This window comes from Homo sapiens, chromosome 9, assembly GCF_000001405.40.
Source record: "Homo sapiens chromosome 9, GRCh38.p14 Primary Assembly".
Lineage (NCBI taxonomy): Eukaryota > Metazoa > Chordata > Mammalia > Primates > Hominidae > Homo > Homo sapiens.
In genome coordinates this window covers 125,437,068-125,461,539 of record NC_000009.12, presented here as the reverse complement: position 1 = coordinate 125,461,539, position 24,472 = coordinate 125,437,068, and the positions used below count along the sequence as shown (strand labels likewise).

The 24,472-nt window shown below is 47.1% G+C and overlaps 1 protein-coding gene across 5 annotated transcripts in view, besides 6 other annotated features; it reads left to right on the top strand.

Annotated features, from left to right (window-relative positions):
• The window catches only part of MAPKAP1 (MAPK associated protein 1), a 269,815-nt gene extending 245,669 nt beyond the window's left edge, over positions 1–24,146 (top strand). For all 5 annotated transcript variants that reach the window (NM_001006621.2, NM_001006620.2, NM_024117.4 and 2 more), the window contains 2 exons: positions 16,942–17,039; positions 22,528–24,146. In NM_001006621.2, coding sequence (NP_001006622.1) covers positions 16,942–17,039; positions 22,528–22,653 — 224 coding nt within the window. In that variant the 3' untranslated portion in view covers positions 22,654–24,146. The remainder of the gene's footprint in view (positions 1–16,941; positions 17,040–22,527) is intronic.
• Positions 13,947–14,475: an enhancer, noted in NCBI's record as "H3K4me1 hESC enhancer chr9:128209344-128209872 (GRCh37/hg19 assembly coordinates)". NCBI's record gives its function as "activates a minimal SCP1, AML or CMV promoter by ChIP-STARR-seq in naive H9 embryonic stem cells {active_cell/tissue: H9 hESC(naive)}" and the evidence as "EXISTENCE:reporter gene assay evidence [ECO:0000049][PMID:30033119]".
• Positions 13,947–14,581: a biological region, named in NCBI's record as "H3K4me1 hESC enhancer GRCh37_chr9:128209344-128209872".
• Positions 14,372–14,581: an enhancer, noted in NCBI's record as "active region_29003". NCBI's record gives its function as "activates an Ori minimal core promoter by ATAC-STARR-seq in GM12878 lymphoblastoid cells {active_cell/tissue: GM12878}" and the evidence as "EXISTENCE:reporter gene assay evidence [ECO:0000049][PMID:35858748]".
• Positions 14,684–15,213: an enhancer, noted in NCBI's record as "NANOG hESC enhancer chr9:128208606-128209135 (GRCh37/hg19 assembly coordinates)". NCBI's record gives its function as "activates a minimal SCP1, AML or CMV promoter by ChIP-STARR-seq in naive H9 embryonic stem cells {active_cell/tissue: H9 hESC(naive)}" and the evidence as "EXISTENCE:reporter gene assay evidence [ECO:0000049][PMID:30033119]".
• Positions 15,709–16,208: an enhancer, noted in NCBI's record as "H3K4me1 hESC enhancer chr9:128207611-128208110 (GRCh37/hg19 assembly coordinates)". NCBI's record gives its function as "activates a minimal SCP1, AML or CMV promoter by ChIP-STARR-seq in naive H9 embryonic stem cells {active_cell/tissue: H9 hESC(naive)}" and the evidence as "EXISTENCE:reporter gene assay evidence [ECO:0000049][PMID:30033119]".
• Positions 16,209–16,710: an enhancer, noted in NCBI's record as "H3K4me1 hESC enhancer chr9:128207109-128207610 (GRCh37/hg19 assembly coordinates)". NCBI's record gives its function as "activates a minimal SCP1, AML or CMV promoter by ChIP-STARR-seq in naive H9 embryonic stem cells {active_cell/tissue: H9 hESC(naive)}" and the evidence as "EXISTENCE:reporter gene assay evidence [ECO:0000049][PMID:30033119]".
• Positions 24,147–24,472: the final 326 nt, after the last annotated feature.

Below are 24,472 nucleotides of genomic sequence, written 5' to 3'. Positions count from 1 at the left end.
TGCTGGGGTTTTTTAGTTTAATTACACTATCCAATTAAAACTCCTTGCTGCATTTGGATGCACCTCTCCTTGGGCCTGAGTGGATATGACATTTACAAGGCTCGCCTTTCAAGCAGACAATAGTGTGATTGATGAGGTGCACATTCAGTGAAGGAGGCGAATGCCTGTGGAAGTGCTGCTTAGTGCATTTTGATTTATTTCTCATCTCCTTCCAAAACAAGGGAGTGCCGGGGAGATGGGTTTAGGCAACCAGAGGGACCACCACAATTTTTCCAAGCGTGTGGGAGGGAAAGACTTGGAGTGCACCACAGGATAAAGGTGGAGAAAAACCGTAAGCAGACGGCCAGCTTGCGTCATCTAATGTTGAACTGTCTTCTTAGGTTCTCTGACCCAGTTTGGTTTCCAGTAACCTCAAGCCACAATCTGCTGTTAAACAGGCAAATCACTGTGCTTTCAGGGAACAGTTTGGCAGAGTTGGATAGCATTGGCCAGGTCCCTGAGAACTCAGCCAGGCCAACGTGTGTCCCATTGACTGACCTGGTCATCATGAGCTGACATCTGACTTGTGCTTTAGGCATGCCTATTTATTTACACTCCCTGCTTCCTCCAGAAATCCAGCAGCTTCTGTCCAGTCATCACCAGTGCTTGATGACTTTTTCTAATTCTGCCTAGGCACAATGAGATTTAAAAGTGCCTCTGGAATTTGGAATCAGCCAAGAGCAAGTGTGGCTCTTCAAAAAGGGGTATGGGAGCACAGTGGAGAACTTCTCACAGTTGTAGTGACAAGGGAAACCTAACATCTTACTCTTAAACTATTGCTATTGACCCTCAGTGTATGATAGATGGTACCAATGTGCTTGTCTCTGTAGTTCCTATAAAAAAGGTGTTTTGATACAGTGGGCCCTAGAAGGATCAACACTCTGAATTTCGGAGTCAGAAGATTCTCCTCTGACCCCCAGATAGTTGGTAAGAAGAGCACACCTCCCATATTCGTCATCAGGCACTAGAGTTGCTCATAGGGGACGTTATGTGTATGTTTACAGAACGTGTAAGAATGTCTACGAGGAAAATTGGCTGGTGCTGAGATAGTGAGTTTTCTTACATTTTCTGTAAATTTTCTTCATTTTTCCCTCGGACGTATTAATAAACAAGAAAGAAAATTTGTGTTGATTGGAATATTGATATTTGTTAGAGTAGAAAACATTTTGAGGGTATCAACTTTTTTTTTTTTCTCCTGGGAGAAGCCTCCTTTTTGCTATTAAGTTTTCACTTAATTGTTGACTTGGGCTTTATGGACCCATTGTAACAAAACAATTGCCTAGGTAAAATGAAAAATTTCTATACATTTGCGTTTTCCTAGATTTTGATTACCATTTTCTCAAATTCATTCTTTCTTGATTTTAATATCAGAAGAGATCCTAATTGAGAAGAGGGTAAGGGCAGGGGCTGTTCCCTACTGAAAAATTCTGTGTGAAAGATTTCTCAGCTGGATAAATGATGGGGGATAATCTGTTTTCCCTTGCCTCCTGCCAAGCTCCAAATTGTGTTTTCATAATAAATAAATGGAGAGCTTAGATTTTAAGTTACTCTCTTAGACATGGAAAAAGTAAGCCATAGTTTCATTAAAATCAAAGTGTGTATTGCTTATAAGACTCCATATGCGTCCCTCTCCCTCTCCCTCTCCCCACGGTCTCCCTCTCCCTCTCTTTCCACGGTCTCCCTCTCCCTCTCTTTCCACGGTCTCCCTCTGATGCCGAGCCGAAGCTGGACTGTACTGCTGCCATCTCGGCTCACTGCAACCTCCCTGCCTGATTCTCCTGCCTCAGCCTGCCGAGTGCCTGCGATTGCAGGCGCGTGCCGCCACGCCTGACTGGCTTTCGTATTTTTTTCGTGGAGACGGGGTTTCGCTGAGTTGGCCGGGCTGGTCTCCAGCTCCTAACCGCGAGTGATCCGCCAGCCTCGGCCTCCTGAGGTGCCGGGATTGCAGACGGAGTCTCGTTCACTCAGTGCTCAATGGTGCCCAGGCTGGAGTGCAGTGGCGTGATCTCGGCTCGCTACAACCTCCACCTCCCAGCCGCCTGCCTTGGCCTCCCAAAGTGCCGAGATTGCAGCCTCTGCCCGGCCGCCACCCCGTCTGGGAAGTGAGGAGCGTCTCTGCCTGGCCGCCCATCGTCTGGGATGTGAGGAGCCCCTCTGCCTGGCTGCCCAGTCTGGAAAGTGAGGAGCATCTCTGCCTGGCCGCCATCCGATCTAGGAAGTGAGGAGCGCCTCTTCCCGGCCGCCATCACATCTAGGAAGTGAGGAGCCTCTCTGCCCCGCCGCCCATCGTCTGAGATGTGGGGAGCGCCTCTGCCCCGCCGCCCCGTCTGGGATGTGAGGAGCGCCTCTGCCCGGCCGCGACCCCGTCTGGGAGGTGAAGAGCGTCTCTGCCCGGCCGCCCCTTCTGAGAAGTGAGGAGACCCTCTGCCTGGCAACCGCCCCGTCTGAGAAGTGAGGAGCCCCTCCGCCCGGCAGCCGCCCCGTCTGAGAAGTGAGGAGCCCCTCCGCCCGGCAGCCACCCCGTCTGGGAAGTGAGGAGCGTCTCCGCCCGGCAGCCACCCCGTCCGGGAGGGAGGTGGGGGGGTCAGCCCCCCGCCCGGCCAGCCGCCCCGCCCGGCCAGCGGCCCCGTCCGGGAGGGAGGTAGGGGGGGTCAGCCCCCCACCCGGCCAGCCGCCCCGTCCGGGAGGTGAGGGGCGCCTCTGCCCGGCCGCCCCTTCTGGGATGTGAAGAGCCCCTCTGCCCAGCCACCACACCATCTGGGAGGTGTACCCAACAGCTCATTGAGAACAGGCCAGGATGACGATGGCGGTTTTGTGGAATAGAAAGGGGGGAGGGGTGGGGAAAAGATTGAGAAATCGGATGGTTGCCCTGTCTGTGTAGAAGGAAGTAGACATGGGAGACTTTTCATTTTGTTCTGTACTAAGAAAGATTCTTCTGCCTTGGGATCCTGTTGATCTGTGACCTTGCCCCCAACCCTGTGCTCTCTGAAACATGTGCTGTGTCCACTCAGGGTTAAATGGATTAAGGGCGGTGCAAGATGTGCTTTGTTAAACAGATGCTTGAAGGCAGCATGCTCGTTAAGAGTCATCACCACTCCCTAATCTCAAGTACCCAGGGACACAAACACTGCAGAGGGCCGCAGGGTCCTCTGCCTAGGAAAACCAGAGACCTTTGTTCACTTATTAATCTGCTGACCTTCCCTCCACTATTGTCATATGACCCTGCCAAATCCCACTCTGCGAGAAACACCCAAGAATGATCAATTAAAAAAAAAAAAAAAAAGACTCCATATGCAACTTCCAACACATGGTAACTTCGACCAGATTAGCCTTTCTATCGTAAGTGATGAGAAAACTGAACAAAATATAAAAACCACTTTTGGACATTAGAAAATATGCAGTTCAGGACTGTGATCCCTGAGAGAAAGGTAACAAAAGAGGTGAGACTGATGATCACCTCAGCTTTTCTCCAGATTTTCGCAGGAAGAGAGAACCCAAGGAAAGTATGGCAGTCTCACTGAGCTGGAAGACAGAGATAAGAGATGGAGGAGGCTAAAGCAACGGAAATTTGCAGAATAGAGTATGGAAGGGAGAAAGAGCTCTAGAAAGAGCCCCTTGAATCTTTCACTGTATACTAAACTATGCATGCCTGCAGTGGGACCTTACAAGGCTGGGCAAGCAACTACTGGGGAGCTATAAACTAGAGTTCTGGCTAACCAGAGTGGAGCATCCAGGGCATTTAGTAGTGATTCCAGGAAGGCCATATCTTAGAAATAGGACTAAATTAGCCATAGACTAAAGACTGCTCTAATCCTTGCAAAAACCTTAAAAGGAATCTTGAAAGGATCAAACTGATCCACAAGTAAATTAGCTTCTACCAGAACAAAGCCCAATACTCTGTAAAGGACAGCACAATGCAGACACCTACAGTGTAATATTGATAGTGTCCAGCATTCGCTTAAAAATTACTAGACATGCAAAGAAGCAGGAACATGTGTCTCATAACCAAGGAAACAATCAATCAATAAAATAGAACCAGAAGAGTCAGAGGTGATAGAATTCACAGAGAAGTACCTTAAAATAGCTATTATAAATATGTTCAGGGACTTAAAAGAAGAACTCAAAAAGAAGAAAAATTAAAACTTAAGAAGAACCAAATGAAAATTCCAGAGCTGAGAAATACAATACCTGAATCAAAAAATTCACTAAATGGGCCGGGCACAGTGGCTCATGCCTATAATCCCAGTACTTTGGGAGGCCGAGGTGGGTAGATCACCTGAGGTCAGGAGTTCGAGACCAGCCTGGCCAACATGGTGAAAGCCTGTCTCTACTAAAAATGCAAAAATTAGCCAGGCATGGTGGCTTATGCCTGTAATCCCAGCTACTCATGAGGCTGAGGCAGGAGAATCGCTTGAACCCAGGAGGCAGAGGTTGCAGTGAGCCAGGATCGCGCCACTGTACTCCAGCCTGGACAGCAGAGTGAGACTCTGTCTCAAAAAAAAAAAAAAAATTCACTAAATGGGAGCAGATTAGTATGATGATGAAAAAAGATCAGTGCATTACTTATCTATTGCCACAAAACAAATTGCCCCAAAACATAGTGGCTTAAAACAGCAGTAACATTTACTGTCTTACAGTTTGGTGGGTCAGGTATCCCACAGCTTAACTGAGTCCTCTGGCTTGGGGTCTCTCAAAAGGCTGCAATCAAGACATCAGCTGGGACTGCAGTCATCTCAGGGTTTCATTCAGACAAGGTCTTCCAAGCTCACTGAGTCGTTGCTGGCAGAGTTTACTTCCTTGGGAACACCCTCAGTTCTCCAAAGAGAAGCTTACATGATGGAGCTGGCTTCATCAAAGTAAGCAAGAGTGAGAGAGTGCTAGCAAGGAATAAGTTACAGTCTTCTATAACTTATTCACAGAAGTGACATCCCAACGCTTCTGCTATATTATTCATTAGAAGCAAGTCGCTAGGTCCAGGCCACAAACAAGACAAGGGCATTACACAAGGGCATGAAAAGCAGAAGGTAGGATCATTGGGAGCCATTTCAGAATCTGCCACAATCAGTGAACTCTATGACAGAACAACAGAAACTATTCAAGGCACAGAGAAAAAATGGATGAAGAGATTAGAGCCTTTGGAGTCATAGCAAGTGTTCTAACATATATGTAATTGTAGTCTTGGTGATGGAGGGGAAAAACTATTCCAGATTTGATTTCAAATATCAAACCAGCAATCTTGGAAGCCAAATGAAAGCTAAGCATGATAAATATAAAGAAAACCACACCAAGGCACATTATAATCAAACTGCTGAGAACCAGCGATAAAGAGAAAAATCTTAAAAGCAGCCGAAGAAGACATATTACGTAGAGAAACCAAGATAAGAATAGTTGCTGACTTCTCATTAGAAATAATGCAATCCAGAAGACAATGGAATGATGCCTCTAAAATGCTAAAAGAAAAAAGTCTGTCAACTTAGAATCCTATATTCAGTGAAAATATCCTTCAGAAAGGAAGGTGAAATAATGACATTTCAGGCAATCAAAAAAAATGAAATAATTTGTCGCCACTAAACCTTACACTATGAGAAGTGAAAGGCTGGAGGGTAAAAATACCAGAAGGAAACCCAAATCTGCACAGAGAACTGAGAACACTCAAAATATCAGTTACCAACGATATGGAATGAACCAAGAAAAAGGGAAGGAGCAAGAGAGACCTTTTCCAGCAGGAATTGGCAAACTGTGGCCCACAGGCCAAATCCAGCCCACTACCTGTTTTTGTATGGCCTGTCAGGCAAGAATGGATTTTACAGATAAACATTTGCAATTGATGTGATGATACAGAACACTAATTTTGGATCCCATTTAAGTGAAATGTTATTCCCTCAACCAAAGGAAAAAAAAAAAACTACACTTCTTATTAATAGATCTGTATTACCCAAAAATGTATTTGATGATTAAATTTTGAATTTTGTCAATAAAAAATGTGAAATTTTTTTTCTCTCTTCTTGTGTATCTACAAAGTATCCTCAGTTTTATCTCTTGGTCCATAAAACCTAAAGCATTTACTATCTGGCCCTTTATAGGAAAAGTTTGCTTGTCTGAGAGTAGAGGTGAAAAAGGAAGCAAGGGGAACATCCCCCATCAGATAGTGTTCCAAGTCCTTTTTACACATTATTTAATTCTTGCAACAACTCTGTGAGGTTGTGTCTACACTTATTATATAATTCTAACATTGTTGGACGACTTTTTAGGGTTATGTAATCCTAACAACTTGTGAGACAGATAATATTCCCATTTTATCAATGAGTTAACTGGGGCTCAGAGAAGCTACATAACTTGTCCAAAGTTATCTGTAAATGGAACAGAGGTCCACAGTCTTCCCTCTGCCACTGACACAAAGCCAAGGCACTTAAATGTCTATGTTTTCTCATTTTTTTTATTTTTGTTTTTTGGGTTTTTTTTTTAATTATTATTAAAATAGAGATGGGGGTCTCACTATGTTGACCAGGCTGGCCTTGAACTCCTAGCCTCAAGCAGTTCTCTCATCTTGGCCTCCCAAAGTGCTGGGATTACAGGCATGAGCCACTGCACCCAGCCAACATCTGTGCTTTCCTGAAGGAAGAATAACCCTAGCCCCAACTCAGAGTGTATGAAGTCTTCTTTTTTTAAACAAATTTCATCCTTGCTTGGTTATCTGGTTTCTCTTCCTAAAGGATATTAAATGCAGAATATTAAAAGAGGGAGAGAGAATGACAGAACTGAAATAATAAAGACAGTGGGAAGTGAAAGCTAACAAGAGTTGACCAAAAATAAAACTAAACAAAAACTATTAAAGAGCATTCCAAAAACTCAGTAAACAGTGTAGTATGGAGCAATTTTGTGGCACAACATAGAGCCTTTTGCAACCCTGGGAGAATCATGATGTTCAGTACTTATACAGAAAAAAGTGATAAAACAGTATTTTCTTTTCCTTATACTCTAATGCAGAAGGAAGGTCTATAATATAGAATTTTAATGCTTAAAATGGAAAAGGGCTTTTTGCACAAAGGTTACCCTAGCTCTCCACTCCAGTGATTCTGGATAGATGAGGTTTCATTTGTAGTAATTTAGCCTCCCATAGAGTACTTGCAAACTCAAGCTTGTCATAGACTTTAAGTCCCTCCAAGGAGGAAATTCCCGGATGCAGAACTTGTTTCTTATCTACTTCTCTAAGAGCTGAAGAATAAACCTCAACCAATACTTGGTTATTGAAATGCAGTGTGGTATTTTACTAGAACAACTTACACATGAATTGAAGCGTCAAAAGGCCCTCATAAGCCATTGTTCTTAATTTATTTCCTGAAGTACATGGAAGCATTTCTGCTGCATTCAGAAGTAGGGTACTTGTCTCAAGGAATAGCACTTGTTTAATTATTTGAATTGCAAGCTGAACCAGTTGTTTGTTTCATGGAACCTTATTATAACTTGAAAGAACAACTGACAAACTATGGTTATTCAAATGAATATTGGGCAGACCTTTTCTTGAAAATGAAGGAAGTGAGTCTGTCACTTCAAGGAGAACAAGTGATAGTATTTATTGCCAGTGATGAAGTTCAAACTTTCAGGTGAAAATTAGAGTTTTGGGAAATTTCCATCACTGAGCTTGGCTTCTCATCGCTTAAAGACTTTTCCAATATCAGTAGTGATATTAATGAAAGTGATTTTTTTTCGATATTGTCAAATGAAATATGTCAACATTTGGAAAATCTGCATAACTCAGTGAACCAATATTTTCCAGACTACTGCATGATGTTACAAAAGCAGGCAAGGGGAAAGATTCAAAATGTAAAACAGACCAATAGATTTTAATGTAACAGAATACAAAAAAGTTTATTAATGAGGTTTATATTCCACATTGCAACTAATCTTTAAGAAAATACCATTTATCAAGTTCAGTGTAGTATCAAAGAGGAATATTTACAAAGAAGAACATTAAAATATGCCTCACTTTTCCAAAAACATATCTGCGGGAGTCTGGCTTTTCTTCATTTACTTTAACCAAAACTATATCACAGCAGATCAAATGCAGAATCAGATTGGATAATCCAGCTGTTTTCTGTTCAACCAAATGTTAAAGAGATTTCAAAACATAAAATAGGCTGGTACGGAGGCTCACGCCTGTAATCCCAACACTTTGAGAGGCCGAGGCAGATAGATCATCTGAGGTCAGGAGTACGAGACCAGCCTTGCCAGCATGGCGAAACTCCATCTCTATTGTCTCTACTAAAAATACAAAAATTAGCCAGGCCTGGTGTTGCACCCCTGTAGCCCAGCTACTCAGAAGGCTGAGGCAGGAGAATTGCTTGAACCCAGGAGGTGGAGGTTGCAGTGAGTCAAGATCATGCCACTGCACTCTAGCCTGGGCAACAGAGTGAGACTCTGTCTCAGAAAAATAAATAAATAAATAAATAATGCCACTCTTATTTAACTTTGGGGAGATATAAGGGTTTTTCCATTTTAAAATATGTTAATTTGTAATGGGTGTATTATTTTAGTGAGTTAATATATATTTTTTAATTTCTCAGTTTTAATTTCATTTATTTTCTTTTTTTGTTTGTTTGTTTGTTTTTGAGACAGAGTCCCGCTGTGTTACCCACGCTGGAGTACAGTGGCCAGTGACATGATTCCGCCTTACTGCAACCTCCACTTCCCAGGTTCAAAATTCTCGTGCCTCAGCCTCCCAGCCCAGCCTCAGGCACACACCACCACACCCGGCTAGTTTTTGTATTTTTAGTAGAGACAGGGTTTCTCCATGTTGGCCAGGCTGGTCTCAAACTCCTGGCCTCCCAAAGTGCTGGGATTACAGGCGTGAGCCACCACACCTGGCCGAATTTCTAACACAATAAATGTTGATAGGTATAATCCACATAAGCTTTTTGGACTCCTCAATAGTGTTTAAGAGTATTAAGGGCTTCTGAGACCAAAAAGTTTGAGAACTGCTGATCTGGGGTCTTGAAAATCATCTTATGAAGCTTGGACTTTATTCTGAGGATGACAGGAAAAGAAGCACTGCAGAGTTTTAAGTAGGGGGTCCAGATGGTATGTTTTAAAAGAATGACTCCTGGCCAGGCGTAGTGGCTCACGCCTGTCATCCCAGCACTTTGAGAGGCCGAGGTATGCAGATCACTTGAGGCCAGGAGTTCGAGACTAGCCTAGCCAACATGGCAAAACCCCATCTCCACAAAAATTTCAAAAATTAGCTCGGCGTGGTGGCGCACGCCTGTAATCCCAGCTACTTGGGAGGCTGAGGTGGGAGGATCACTCAAACTCAGGAGACAGAGATTGCAGTGAGCCCAGATCGCAGCACTGCACTCCAGCTGAGTGACAGAGGAAGACTCTGTCTCAAAAAAACGGGCTGGTGCGGTGGCTCATGCCTGTAATCCCAGCACTTCAGGAGGCCAAGGCGGGCAGATCACCCAAGGTCAGGAGTTCAAGACCAGCCTGACCAACATGGCGAAACCCCGTCTCTACTAAAAATACAAAAATTAGCCTGGCGTGGTGGCAGGCGCCTGTAATCCCAGCTACTCTGGAGGCTGAGGCAGGAGAATGGCTTGAACTTGGGAGGCGGAGGTTGCAGTGAGCTGAGATCGCGCCACTGCGCTCCACCCTGGGGGATAGAGCGAGACTCTGCCTCAAAAAAAAAAAAAAAAAAACTCCTGTGAGTAGATGTTTGAATCTGCAGAAGACATGATCAAAAGAAGGAAAACCAGAGAAAAAGCAATAGATGATCAGGACCTGGGTGAGGGCTGTGGTCCCAGGATAGAGAGGGACGGAAGATAAACGTGAAAACTAGGAGACCAAATGCCCAGTACTTGGTGCGTGGTGAAGCCTCCAGTTGTGCCACCACAACTGCCAATTTAAGGGGAGATGCTGATGTCTGTTCTGGACATGCTGCACTGGGGGCCATGTGGAGGTGGCAGCCATACCCACTGCTCAGCTCTGAAACTCTGGAGAAAGGTATAGGCCACATAGCTGCTTCAGGATCACCAACATGTGAGTAGTAACTAAAACCCAAGGGCAAACCCGACACAGGAAAAACGTAGTTAGAGGAGGTGCTGATCAAGGATAGAACTCAGGAAGACCATTGCTTAAGGGACAGGTGGAGGTCCAGAAGATCACAAAGGAAATGTGAGAAACAGATGACTGGAGACGTGGACCCAAGAATCAGGTGACCGTGCCTCCAGGGAAGCCAGGACTTTAAGAAGTGTCGAAAACAGCTGAGAAATCTCTACTGGATCTCTCGACATTGAGGGCATAGTGACCTTAGCAAGAATGTTTTCGATACATGAGAGGAAGGAGGGAAATCACATTGCCATGGGAGTTTTTATAATTAGAGATTTAATTATGTTTACAGGAAGGAGCCAAAGAGAGAGAGAGAGGGAGTTTGAGAATCCAGGCAGAAATGTAAGTAGGTCAGGCACATCCCCGGCTCTAGAGGTCAAAGAGGTCATTACTATGGTTGCCCAGGCCGCTGCCCACGCAGGAGTGCTTGGGAAGGAGCACTCCCTTTTGCCAGTTGAATTACCTTGAGCTGAAGCTCCCTGCAGGCAGCCCAGAACTGTTGCTTACGGTGGAGAGGAGACCCAACCAGGAGGGAGTTTTCAGCCCAGAGACCAAAGAACCCCAGTCCAGCATTTCCTACTAGGACCTACAGAAAGATACAGCTTTGCCTAAAACAATGTGTGTTCCCATCGGTTTCCCCCAAGAAATCCAGTGAGAATGTTCCCCTCTCAGGCCAGAGGGCCCAGAAGACATCAGACCTTGGAAACTGAGTTTTCAAAAAGTATCCATGCCTGATGTAAAGGAATTGAGAAAGAATCCCAAGCCTCAAAGCTGTTCTTTGTAGCCTTATTTATAGTACTGGCAATTTTATAAGTAACCCAGAAGCCCAACAGAGATAGCAACATGACCCATAGCTCACGTCTACTGGTTGGAATAAGATGCAGCCATTGAAAACGGTGGTTATAGAAATTGTTGCAACAGGGAAAGGGGTATGGTAAAATGTTAACTTAAAAAAACTAAGCTCAACTTCTAGTATACAATCTGATTACAACTGTGAAAACAGGCGAGAATGGTTAGGAAAGAGACCGTGAATGGCATTGTGCTAGTGTTGGGATTTTGGGGTGGGGTGTGGAGGTTCTCCTCTGTCTTCTAAATTTCTAGTATTTTTAATAAGGAAAAGAAACAGGTTTATTTTTATATTTTTGGCAAGTGGTGACACCTGGGGGTTTAGGCAAAGGTGGGCTGCAGGCTCATTCTGGCAGCTCCAGCTCTGACCAGTCATGGCCAGCCACAGTCAGTACTGGCAGGTTGTGTTAGAAGAGACCCTCCCTTGAGACTTTTCTTAAGGCAGATGGAAAGTAAAAAAAATGATAGCCGGGCATGGTGGGGGGTACCTGTAATACCAGCTACTCAGGAGGCTGAGGCAGGAGAATCGCTTGAACCCAGCAGGCAGAGGTTGCAGTGAGCCGAGATGTCACCACTGCACTCCAGCCTGGGTGACAGAGTGAGACTCCATCTCAAAAAAAAAAGAGCAAAAATTGAAAATCAAAAAAAGACCCTTCTTTCAGTTGATTTGCAGTGGAAGTCTGGGAGCACCTCTTTTAGCAGGGTTGTGAGTGCTGTTCATGTATGTTTAAGCCATCCCATCTCATGACCACAGCAGCCTTTCCAACATGGCCACGCCCCCTGAACTGGCAGGAAGAACCTGTTTTTTCAGCACAGCCTCCTGTTTTAGTTAGAATCCATAATACAGAAGATGAATTAAAGCACAAAAGCTGGACGTCTCCACTTCTGACATTTGTGCCACTAATTAGTTTCTGCTTGGTATTAAATTCTATCTTCTCTGTCTTACTTTGAAAAACTTACATAAGTGTAAATACAGTTCTACATATCCAGATTTTCACTTCAGTACTCACGAGTGGAGGTACAGTTTCAGTATCTGCCCTGAGCATGTGACCAGTGCTTAGATGCCACATTTATACCCTCTTATATTGCATTTTATTTACATAGCACTATAAAAGCAAATCTGCTCAAAGGAGGCCCAATTAAAAATGCAATCTTCAAAGCAATTAGCATTTTATCATCAAATACCAGTTCCATCATAGTTAAATGAATGACCACCTCCCTGCTATATGCAGGGATGTATGTGACATATAAGAGATCACTGACAGATGCTATCCCCTCCTTTACAGCCAGGCAAACCTTGGAAGGGACAGTGCCTTGCCAAGGTCCCACAGCTGAAACATGGCAGAGCTAGGATTTCATCCTAATTCTAACTTCAGGAATTATGCTTTTTTTCCTCTGTGTCTCAGGCTTTTGTTAAACCTTAATTTAAACAGAATTTAACAATTAATGCAAAATAATTTGAACTAATTGGAATATTAAACTTTACATTTTTTTAAAGTCATACTAATACATAACTTTTTCTTAGCTGATTTTTTTTTTTTTTTTTTTTGAGACAGAGTCTCGCTCTGTCACCCAGGCCAGAGTGCTGTGGCACAATCTCAGCTCACTGCAACCTCCGCCTCCTGGGTTCAAGCAATTCTCCTGCCTCAGCCTCCCAAGTAGCTGGGATTCCGGGTGTGTGCCTCCATGCCCAGCTAATTTTTGTATTTTTAGTAGAGACAGGGTTTCACAGTGTTGGCAAGGCTGGTCTCAAACTCCTAACCTCGGGTGATCCATCCACCTTGGCCTCCCAAAGTGCTGGGATTACAGGCTTGAGCCACTGCGCCCAGCATCTCAGCTATTTTTTTACAACTAGTGTCTCAGCTATTTTTTACAAAGACAGCTTGCTCCTGTGACTTAACCCTGTTCCTATGAAAACCGCTGGTGGTCTTGGAATTTTCAAAGGTAACTTGCCTACCTCTGATTCCCTCTAACGCCCCAGGGAGATGCCTGGTGGGCTGCAGCTGAGGAGGTCATTGGCCCCCTCTTCCTCTTCTACCTGAGATGAACTGTGAGGTGTCTGAGGCTGATGGTATCTGATAACAGGTGTTCTTTTGTTCAGTCAGTATTGAAGTGTGGGCAGTTCCTTCTTCCCAGACACCTATGGTGGAAATTTACTATGTGGCATAAATTACTCATGTTTATTGACAGATTCATTTCCAGCAAGAGGTCAATGAATTGTTACACTTTAATATATAGGTCTTGGTCTGGGTGAAATTATGAAAGTGTGAATTCTGATTATTAGCTATTATTCTGTTGTGAAAGAGTCTCCCCATCCTGCCAACATTACCTTCTCTGTAGTTCTCGCCTCCATTCCTTTTCAGTATCCTTTCTGCACCTGTCTAGCTCAAAACTGCACTCACTCCTACCTGGCTGACTACGGGAACTGCTTACCTCGCCTCCAGGCTCCAGGGAACCAGGGAGAACACCCTAAAACACAGTTTGCCCATTTCTTTCACTTGCCCTGCTTAAACCCCTCTAGTGACCCCCATCAGCTGGTGACTCCAGGCACTCTCAGCCCTTTGTGTCCCTCTCCCTCCCACCTGCCTGCCACACATGACCCTGGTTTGCCCAGAGCTCCCATGGAGACCCTGTATGTTTGCCCATGCCGTTTCCTTGCCCTGTGGCATCTTCCTCTTTTTCACCCTTCTCCACCCTCACCTTTACCCAGCTGACTCCCTGCCCTCCTCCAAAACTGCGGAGGTGTCAGCTCCTCCCAAGAAACTGTCCCTAGTGGCTCTTCTCCACCTCTGGCCAGGTGCTTCTGCCTTGGTGTCTCCACGGCAGCTCCCTGCGTTTACCTTCTTCACGCTCATCATATTTGACTCTCGGTGTTCATTTCTCTGTCCTTTGCTCTAGCCCATGCTCCTGGCAGAGCCCAGACTGAGGAAAACTGCCCTTCTGGCCGCCCAGCGAAACAGGGCTGCTAGCGAGGGGAACTCGGGGCAGAAACGCCCGCGGAGTGAGTCCGCCCCATGTCCTATGGCCCAGCATGGCTGCTGATCTTAACCTGCCCTTGCCCCCCAGGGTTCCGCTCATCACTCCTTGCAGAGAGCAAGAGGGGGCTGTCTGCTGTGGCTGTCCACCGTGCCTCGGCCCAGTGATTAACTTTGCAGCTGTGTCATTGTTCAAGTCCAAACACAAGTGCTCCACAGAACGTTCTCTGCCCTCTGTTCCCCTCTCCTATGGCGTGAGTGCTTTCACTGGAAAGGACAAACAGACCGGAGGCTTGAGGGAGAGTGGGGGAATGTTGGGACTCTTCCTCCTCCTCACCTGCTTCACTCTTCCTCAGATGGGTGCTGGAATGAGCCCTGGGGATAGGCAGGAGACACACACAGCCTCCACATGCAACCAAATACATTCAAAATTCAGAGGACGGGATTTGAGGTTACTTGGTTCAAATATGCAGCCTTTCAGGAGACTTGGCTTGGTATGATTTTTTTGTTTTTTTCACGTGACTGTGCAGATGAACCACAGGCCTCCCCTCTGTCAGCCCACAATTGACATGCTTCACAAGCACCATAGTCCCAAGGGGACAGTGTCAACGCTTCCTTTCTGGGGCTCTTAGGCCTTGCAGACTACTTATTACATGTGCTGTGTATAGATTGGGCTCTGCTTAAAGTGCAGGAAACCTTTTTAACAGTGTCTCAATTGTTCAGGCAAAACATGCTTTAGTGCTTTGAGGTTTGGTTTGGTTTTGTCAGTGACAAGCGGGAGCAGGTGGTGTGGACAGTCCATAAGCTGTCTTATCAAAGTGGTCAGTGAACCCCGAAGCTTCGGGTCTGTGGGTCTCCCTAAGACCTTCTGGTTCTTTCTAGCCCCAGGCCCTGGTGTCTTTGTGTGTCGTGACCAGTTGTCAGCAGGAATGCCTCCTGGAGGGGGTGTCTCTTTGTCCTTCACAGCCCTGTGTCCTTTGTAGATGGCTGTGCTTGTTCACAGCATGGCCAACAAAGGTGCCCGCATTGTTCCTCCACACAGGGATGTCACCGACAAGATTCTGATGTTGTGGGGTAGATCCTGTGAATGTGAATAGATACAGACGCACACACAGATGCCTCTGTGTAAGGTCCACCTCCTTATTAGAAACACAGAATTTATATGTTAACAGAGTGACTAGCTTCCAGTCAGGAATTCTCACATTTTAGTACCATGATTTAGAATCAGGCTAAATTTGTCAAGTGTCTGAAAGTGAGGTTTTTCAGAAATTATTAGGTAATTTTTTCAATTTAGGATTTATAGTCACAATTAGTACATCATAATGATGTTTCCAGGATAAAATACCAGTGGCTCAACTTTTCTGGCCACAAATGTACAACATATATCAGTTTATTTTTGGAGATCTGAAAAATTAGCTACTGTAAAGTCCCCAAGAAGATTTCTCCAGGAAAGAGGTGAACTTACAGTAATATGGGTGATATATTATTAATTAATAACTATGACCAGCCGCTGCTTCAATTAAAAGGACAACGGATGAGAAGGACTAATAGAAAGGATATGCTGAATTTTAATCTTACAGACACTAAGGTCTGTCGAAAGACTAGGGAAGGTCATTTCTGGGCGTTTTGCAGGAGACCTGTATATTAGAGATGTCACCTGCTGCTCCTTGGTCTAGGAAGGTTTACTGAATACTGACTACGTGTCTCTCTTGGGCACTGTTCCTTTGCTTGCCAGTAATGGAAACCAACTTCAGTAGCTTAAGGCGAAAGAAGAATTTCTTGGAAGGCCACAGGAGTCTCCTAGAACCCAAGGATAACAGTGCCGATAGGCCGGGGCAGCCCCCATGGGCCTGAGCCTGGGAGTCCCAAAGCCCCTCATCTTATTCTCAGTCCTTGTGCCAGTTTAGACAGCCTAGCATCTATGTCTGCATTTAGAAGAGGGAATCCGATTGACCTGTCTGGACATAAAAGGACAGGCCCAGATAATGTAGCCATGGCTGCAGGTATGATAAGACAAGCAGGTTCCTTTGGAGGGCCACGGTACCGTGTGGTAGGCCCACACAAGAAGTGCGCCTAGAAGTGTGGTTATGAAGACTCACCCAAGAAGGCGCCAGCTGAGCTGAGCCACCCAGGATCAGCAAATCTTTCCCATCCGGGTCAGTGAGAGAGGACATCCCAGGCTTGGGGAAGAACCTGTGTAGAGGCTGGTGTGGCAGGTGGGAGTGTGCAGCACTCTGGCAGCCTGTGGCCTGTCGGGGCAGCGGAGTGAGATGAGGCTAGACCAGGAAGCAGTCCCAGAAATGACAAGTGTCATCCTGAAGGTGGTAGGACGGGGCATGGAGAATGGAGACCTAGATCAGATTTATATTCAGAAGCTCTGCCCCCTGGAGTCGGTCGCTTTGTGAGGTGCCCACTTTCCATGGTGCCCCCCCCGCCCCCATCCTCCCAGGGTTGAGATGACCTGAGGCCTTTGGGAGCAGCTTCCAGCAGGGTCTAAAACTGGGATTCTCCCTCTCCAGGCAGGAGTCCTCTCCCAGCAGGAGCCCAGGCTGTGGAGCAGCCTCATAATAGTGTGGCTTTTGACCCTTCTCCTTCCTGTTGCTCATTTATCTGACTTTAAACAGTTAGTTTATTTTTAGAGTAATAATGTGGAGTTAATTAGCCTTCTCCCTTAAAAACGCCACCTTTTGCATGTAATTATCATATAGCAGCAGTTCCGTAAAGCCTTCCTAACGTGGCATTCCCCTGAATGCATTCCAGAGTGGAATGGGACCTAACTGGCTGTTGAGTCTTTAAAATTTTTTCATTGTCCATTTTATACCCAGCCTGTAATGAGAAAACGAACTACTCCTGGGAAGACTAGGTGCTGCTCAGCCTCCACTTGCTCTCGCTCGAATTGGAATGATAGGGGAGAACATATGGAGGCCCCCGCCATAGTTAACTCACCAGAACCCCTCAACACAGTTTTCTGTCTCTGCAGGTCACGCAATATTTAAACTCACGTATCTAAGCAATCACGACTATAAACACCTCTACTTTGAATCGGACGCTGCTACCGTCAATGAAATTGTGCTCAAGGTGAGTATTCCTTCTTGAACCAGAGACAGGGTAGGTGGGTCCAGCTTCTCTTCAGGCTGTTTGCGGCATGGCCGCAGCCCCACCCACTCCGCAGCTCTATAGAAGGTTCCCGGGCCCAGTTTGGCAGAGGAGGAGTGTCGCAGCTTGCCAGCCACCCAGGGGTGAGTGCCTGTGCCAGGGCCACACCAGCCCCCGCTCAGCTGCTCTGCACCTGCTTCAGTCAAAGCAGGACCCTTTTCAGTTTCCTCCCAATCCCAATAACCCTGGCTCTTCCTGTATTTGTTTATTCCTTTTATGTACTGTTTATTTTCCTGCAACCATTGTCAGGAGCTCCTTGAAGCTCCTGGAGCAGACTCTGAGGAAATTATTATTGTTTTGAAGATAATTATGCTGAAGGTGATTTTAGCAACCTGTTCTAAACATACCTAACTTTCTGCTAGACTTGTATGTCACCATACCTAAACAGTATACTCACTGAGCACCTTCCGTGTGCCTGGCCACGGCCTGGGATGCCACGGTGACAGACTCTGTCCCTGCCCCTGGAGAGCTTTTCCTCTACCAGAGGAAACAGGCATAAAACACAAAATTACAAAGAGATCGTTAGTCTCAAAGGTGTGGGTGTGTCACAGTAAACTGACTTGGGGTGGAGGTATGGAGGCAGGGAGAGCTGAACCCTGAAGGATGACTGAAAAGGCACAGATGTTGACCAGGTAAAGAGAGAGGAAGCACCACAGACAGGCAGCCTGGGAATGGGCTGAGGCAAGGCAGGCACAGGGGGATGGGGGGCTGGGGGGGCTGGGGGAGCTGGCGGGGCTGGCGGGGCTAGGCCGTGCAGGGCCTTGCAGAGTGGAGTGTGGCTGAGAGGAGCTCTGCTTGGCATGGGAGCCTCCAGGGGTCTTGCGGATTTGGGAGGTCTGGGATAGGACCTGAGATCATACGTTTCCAAGAAGCGCCAGATGCTGCTTTGGCCGCTGGTCTGGGCACCACACTCTGAGTAGCCCTGGACTAGGGGTCTCAGCCTCTCCCAAGCAGAGAATCCTTTCTTCAAGCCAAATCTTCCATAGGTTGATCAGATAGGAAAAGCAGCTGCTGTGGCAGAGCAGGGGCGAGGACCAGAGAGGGCTCCCCCACCCCTAGTTGTGTGACCCTGGCTAGTCACATCACCTTTCTGGGACTCAGTGTCCCCACCTGTAAAGTGGGGATCATAGTACCTATGCTACCCCACCCCACCAGGGCTGCTAGAGTACAAATCAGATGAGACATGGTAAACCTATGTAAGTTATCATTCAGTCTCTTCTGAAGAGTTGAAGTCATCACATAATAGCAGAAGTAGCGAAGATATGCTGAGGGACTGCACAGTGCAGGACCTGGGCCAGAGGCTCCACGTGTCCCATCACAGTGCATCTTCACAGCTCTGTGAGATCATGAGATAAAGTTGTTCCCATTTCCCAGATGAAAAGTGAGGATCAGGAATAAAGTAGCAGAGCCAGGATCATGACTCTGGTAAGTTGGCAGAACCAGAACTTGCCCCCAGATTTGACAGATTTCAGACTTGTGTTTTAATTCCCCAGATATGCATGACCTAAGAGTTGTGTGGGAGATTTCAATGAAATAGAATTGCGATCCAGGAATATATTGAGACACATTCCCCATGGCTGCAAAAGATTTTCAAAAGGAGTAGGTAGCAATTTAAAAGAGCAGCTGGAAGGACAGTTTGGAGCAGACAGAGTAGCATGATTAGCTGGATGAAAGGGAGAGGGTTCATAGACCAGCCTGATCAGAGCCCCTCCTTGGACCAAGGAGTGGGGACACGGGCCTGCCTGGGAGTGCTTGCAGCCAGCGAGCTTCGAGTTACCCACTGGAGCATCACAGACAGCACGGGCCCCTTGTGCAGAGTGTTCAGGGACCTGGCAGAGAAATATTCCATTACCCCGATAGGGGCTGGACTTTTTTTTTTTTTTTTTATAGCCAGCATTAAAATATTCAAGACTTGAGAAGGATTCTAGTAAAATTATAATCCCATGTTTGACATCAAAATAATTTTCACAACAGCAGATTGATGACAGAAACACAGGTTTATGACTTCAGTATGAGACTGTGGAAGATCAAGTGCAGAGAAATCATTTTACAGGTCCAAATGCTCCCTCGAAGCAGATGCTTCTCTGCAAAATCCGTGAGGTCTGTCACCTTCCCTAAAGTGTCTGTTTCCATATCAAAATATTTGCAGAAATATTGTGTCATGCACAAGACTCCAGAAGAGTTGTAGCATACCCTAGGCCTGATTTACTTAGAGCTAATGATCATGAGCCTGATGGAAGATGAGATAGTACTTCTCCCACCTCTGATTTTTTTTTTTTTTTTTTTTTTTTTTTGAGACAGAGTCTCACTCTGTTGCACAGGCTGGGGTGTAGTCGTGTGATCTCTGCACACTGCAACCTCCACCTCCCGGGTTCAAGTGATTCTCCTGCCTCAGCTTCCCGAGTAGCTGGGATTACAGGCACCCGCCACCAAGCCCAGCTAATTTTTTTCTATTTTTAGTAGAGAACGGGGTTTCACCATTGGCCAGGCTGGTCTCGAACTCCTGGCCTCAAGTGATCTGCCCACCTCAGCCTCCCAAAGTGCTGAGATTAAAGACATGAGCCGCCAGGCCCGGCCCCATCTCTGATTTTTATAGCAATTGGAATACTTAGTTTTATCCACCATTCCTGCAGTGTCCTGAGTGTGTCTTTGTGAGCTTTGCACCAGTACCAAGCAACGGAAGCCCAGCCCTGTGTCCGGGAGCTTGGGAGAAATGTTGTTGCCATCAGAAGCTCTTGAGGAGTCAGTTTAGACTCTAGTAATGCATGCTGTTGTTCTAGAATTCAGGAATTTTACATAAAATGAGAGCTTAGATGGAAATTGAAGGGAGGAAATAAGAGCCACAATCTGATGTCAAATAAACAATCATGAACAAAGCCTCCATCGAGCTTTTTGCGCTTGTAGAAATAGGAACGTCTCCCATTTATTGAACACCAGCTACATGCAGTACATCTAATGTCCATTATCTTGTTTAATCTTCCTGACCGCCCTCCAGAATGTAGACATTGTCCCCATTTTATAGAAGAGGAGATGGAGGCCCAAGGTCACAGAGCACACAAGGGTGGAGCCTCTACTTGAACCTGGCCCGAGAAGCTCCAGAGCCGCCCTCTTCCCATCAAGATGTCACTGAGCTAAGCCATGGGTGGTCCCTAATTCCACAGGCTTTGAGATGAATCTCAGAGGAGTTGTCGGGCTCTTCAAATCAGGTTCTTCTCGTGATTGAGTGATGGAGGCTGTGGCTTTATTGACCATGAAAACTCCCTATATTTTTATGCCTTAAGCTGTAAAATGCGTTGAAAATGAAACACTCTATAGTGCATAAAATTGTGCCAGTTTTAAGCCACAGCATATTAACCAGCTAATGGCAGAGCAAAGGGCGTTTTTATCTTTTGATTATTACATTAATCTTCCATTAACATTATCTATGTGATTATCACAAAGCACTGAAGATAATAAATTTGGGAAATAGTTGGCTTGTTAAGGATCATTTTAAAATGCTTTTGTCAAGTTATATGTGCCAAAAATACACTGAAAACACTAGGTTGGCTGAGTGTGCAAACAATATAATCCAAAGATTTCTTGTATTAAGAATGATAAAACCTCTTATTTCCATACACTGTATTGTCCCAAATCATCAACCTGGCCCTGCGGTCCTCATGATTTATTGCTCTCAGCTGGTAACTTGGCGAGGCAGCGGGCAGAGCGTGTCAGGCCTTCTGTACTCACGCACCAGCCTTTAACGCCTGCTGCTCCAACCAGCAGAGCAGAAAGTTGGGAGGGACAGTGTTGAAGCCTCGGCCATCTGAGGCGTTGCCATCTCGCGCTGCCTCCCCCGGGAGCCCTCTGGTTCCTTCTCGGAGTCAGCAGAAGCTCCTCTCCCTCTGGCACAGGACACATGGCCCTCGGAGTAGAATCAGCAGAGGCAGTGGCTGGCCTCTCTTGTCAGAAATATTCAGCCTTCTAGTCAAAACTTTTAGATACTTGCAGGTGAAGAGAAATAGCGTCTGTTCACCAAAAGCCCCAGCCAGAGGAGCAGAGGAGGTGAGAGGCTGCGGAGCAGGAAGGGGTGTTTGCCAAGCGCCTGACACCTTCTAGCTTTGTGACCTTGACTAAATGACATTATTGTCATTGGCCTTGACTTCCTCACCTGTGCATGGGGATGACAGTGGCATCTGTCTCAAGATTATTGTGAAGATTCCATGAGCGCTGAAAGGCACTCCGAGCAGTGCCAGTTGCCACCACTGATTTCACACTGCTGCTGCCGCCCATGCCCAGGCACAGGCTGTCCTCAGCACTGGGGCGTGTGCATCCCACTGTAGCACCCCTCCCTGGCTCCCACCACCTCATTTCACTAAGCCAGCCAAGCTCTCGCAGTTCCAGGGACACTCCCTTGTGGCGTGCCCCTGCTGTGCCTTGATGCATGCTGCGTCTCTCCTCCCCGTTGCGCACTCAAAAACTCCTGTGTATCCCTCAAAAGCCCGCTCACTCTTTTCCTCTGGAAGCCTTCCCTCCTCCACACCTCCCTGATACTCAGCCCCATTCCTTGATGCTCCTCTTTGCCTGCTGCAGTGCTGGTTCTGCTGCTGGACACCCACTCACCAGGCAGCAAGCTCCCCAGGGCCAGGACCAAGTCTCAGCGCTGTAGCGCTGGGGAAGCGCCTGGCGGTGCAGCTGCTACACAGAGTGGAAGATGCACATGCGACTCCGGGCAGACTCCCAGGGCTTCGTGGAAGCAGCAGCGTGCAGAAGGCCTGAGAGGAGCCCAGGAGGCAGCCCCGCCCTTCACACAGGGCTCTTTCAGCCCCCTCACAGCTCTCACCCTGACTTCCACGTGGCCTAGGCCACTTTGGCCTCCCTCTCTGAGCCTCTTTCCTTTTTGTCAAGTGAGCCCTGCCTGGCTGGGCACTCATGAGCCCTGAAGGAAGCACTGTGGTGGGAAGCTCTGCGCCTGGCTGGTGGGAGGCTGGATGGAGAGCCTGTCTTGGTTTGCTTTTCATCCCTGTGTTCTCGGCCTTCACACAGGGAAAGGCAGGCTCAGAGAGGTTATGTGCTTGTCCAGGTCACACAGCAGGTGGGAGGCATAGCCAGGCAGCCCAGGGCACAGCCTTCCGGGAGTGGCTCACGCCAGGAGGGAGCATGGGCTCCGGAACCTGAAGAGCTCGCCGCTCACTGACTGGGAAGCCTGGACTGGCCACTTGGCTTCTCCAAGCCTCTGTTTTCCCATCGTAGAGCAGCGGCTCTGGGCCCAGCCGCTGCCAGGTTGCTGTGATGACTGGACTCCTTCCACACGACAGCACCTGGCCCTGAGGCACCCGGCCCAGGTCAGGGCCTTCCCTGCCACCCCCTCCGATGCCCTGGGTGGGTAGGGAGCGGCTGGCAAGGTGACCGGGCTGTGTGCTCTTGTTTCTAGGTTAACTACATCCTGGAATCGCGAGCTAGCACTGCCCGGGCTGACTACTTTGCTCAAAAACAAAGAAAACTGAACAGACGTACGAGCTTCAGCTTCCAGAAGGAGAAGAAATCCGGGCAGCAGTGACACTGGCCTCCAGCCTCAATCTGTTCCGTAGCTCAGAGCCTGCCTGCCAGGGCCAAGTGCCCTAGAGTCCACCCGGTGTCCTGAAGTCCTCGGGGGGAGGCCAGCCCCTGGCTCACTGGCACAGGGCAGGTGGGCTCTCGGGGAAGGTGTCGGGGGCCCCCTAGGAGGGAGCGCTGGGGACATTGCCATGGGACGGAAGTCTGCTTGGCAGTGGCTTTGATAAGCGATGCTTGGGGGTCAGACCACCCCCTAGAGGAGCCACGTGCCGCCCAGCCACCTTCAATGCCTGCCACCCTGCCCGAGGATGTACAGAGCCGTGCCCACACATTTCCTTGCAACTTGATCAAATTTCTTAAAGCAAACAACAAAAATGTACATTTCTGTTTTTCCTTTTAATAAACAGGTGTACTCTTTATCATGGTTGGTATGATGGACCATTCTTTGGGGCGGAGGATTGATTATGTTACTCTCTTTAAAATCTGTTCCCATATTGAACAGGCAGATTGGAAAAGCTATGGTTCGATTTCTCAGAAGAAATGTTTAGGTCTTAGTCAATAGTTTTAACTATGCCATTTGTTTAAATGAGTGCATTTGCTTCGAGGGTAGTGTCTTACTAAAAGTTAGGAACAGAGACCTAGTGGTGTGTCCAAGGCCGTGTCACTTTCCCCTTCAGCACACCCCAGCTTCTGACCTCAGAGCCCAGGAGCTGCGTGGACAGTGTGGGGTGCCAGGAGGAGGGGCGGTGGCTGGTCCTCAGGCACGCTGCACTCCCAGCCAGACATGGTCTTTCCGTTTCTTAAGTAGCAAGTGTAGGTTTCAGCTGGCAGTTCCACCTGCATGTTCTCTGCTTCGCTGCCTTGGAAGGGGCCACATTCCCCATTCCTCTTCTCCTTACAGCGCCTGCCTCCTTTTTCAAGCAGGCGGAAAGCTGCTGTTTCTCACGTTTCAGGGAGAGGGGTGAGCGGAGGGAGACCTGTGTCCGTGCCGTCCGGCTCCCTGGGTGGGAACAGGCAAGGGATCAGATGCCCCTGACACCACGCCTCTGGCCACACCAGATGCCTCTGCAGTCCTCGACAGCCTCTTCAGTGTCCCTCCTGCGGTGATGTCCTTACTGTCCCCAGCCAGGGCCGGGGACCGGTGTTTCACTGAGGACCTGCATTAGAAACATTTTTTAAATTGTTGTACAGGAAGAGATGTGTCTAAAACAGCATCTTAAAGCTGAGTGTATTTCTTTGCACAAGGGGTCATGCTGATGAATTCTTCTTTCATTCTGATCTTTGTTCAGCCAACAGGAGCGTCCTTTTCTAATGTCTTCCATTCCTACCCCCCACCCAAAAACAAAAGAAATATTTGTAGCTTGCTATCTGTATTTGAATTTTTAGCAATTTTATATTTAGATACTTTGAAAAATGTAAATGACTAATTTGGTCATTAAATCTTGTGACATATTCGATATTAAAATGATATTAAAATAAAAGTCATATAAATACACACTTTTGCATATTGTGTTGAGTTTCTGAAGTCTGGAGTATGTGATGCCGAAAACCATGACTCTGCCATGAGCCTCCTGGGTGGTGGCATTTGCCAGCAGTTGACGAGGAAGCAACATCTCTGAAATGCACCGGGGCCTCTTTGGTGCTAAGCACGACAGGCTGGCCCTCTTCACTCAGGGGTGACACCAAAGTCATCACCTCCTTCAGCCACAAAATCAACACCCTTCTCTTACTGTGAAATGCAACACTCTCAGTTTACATAAACACATGTGTCCAGGTGAAGGAACAGTGGAAAGGGAACACAGCAGCCACCGCCCAGGCCCAGC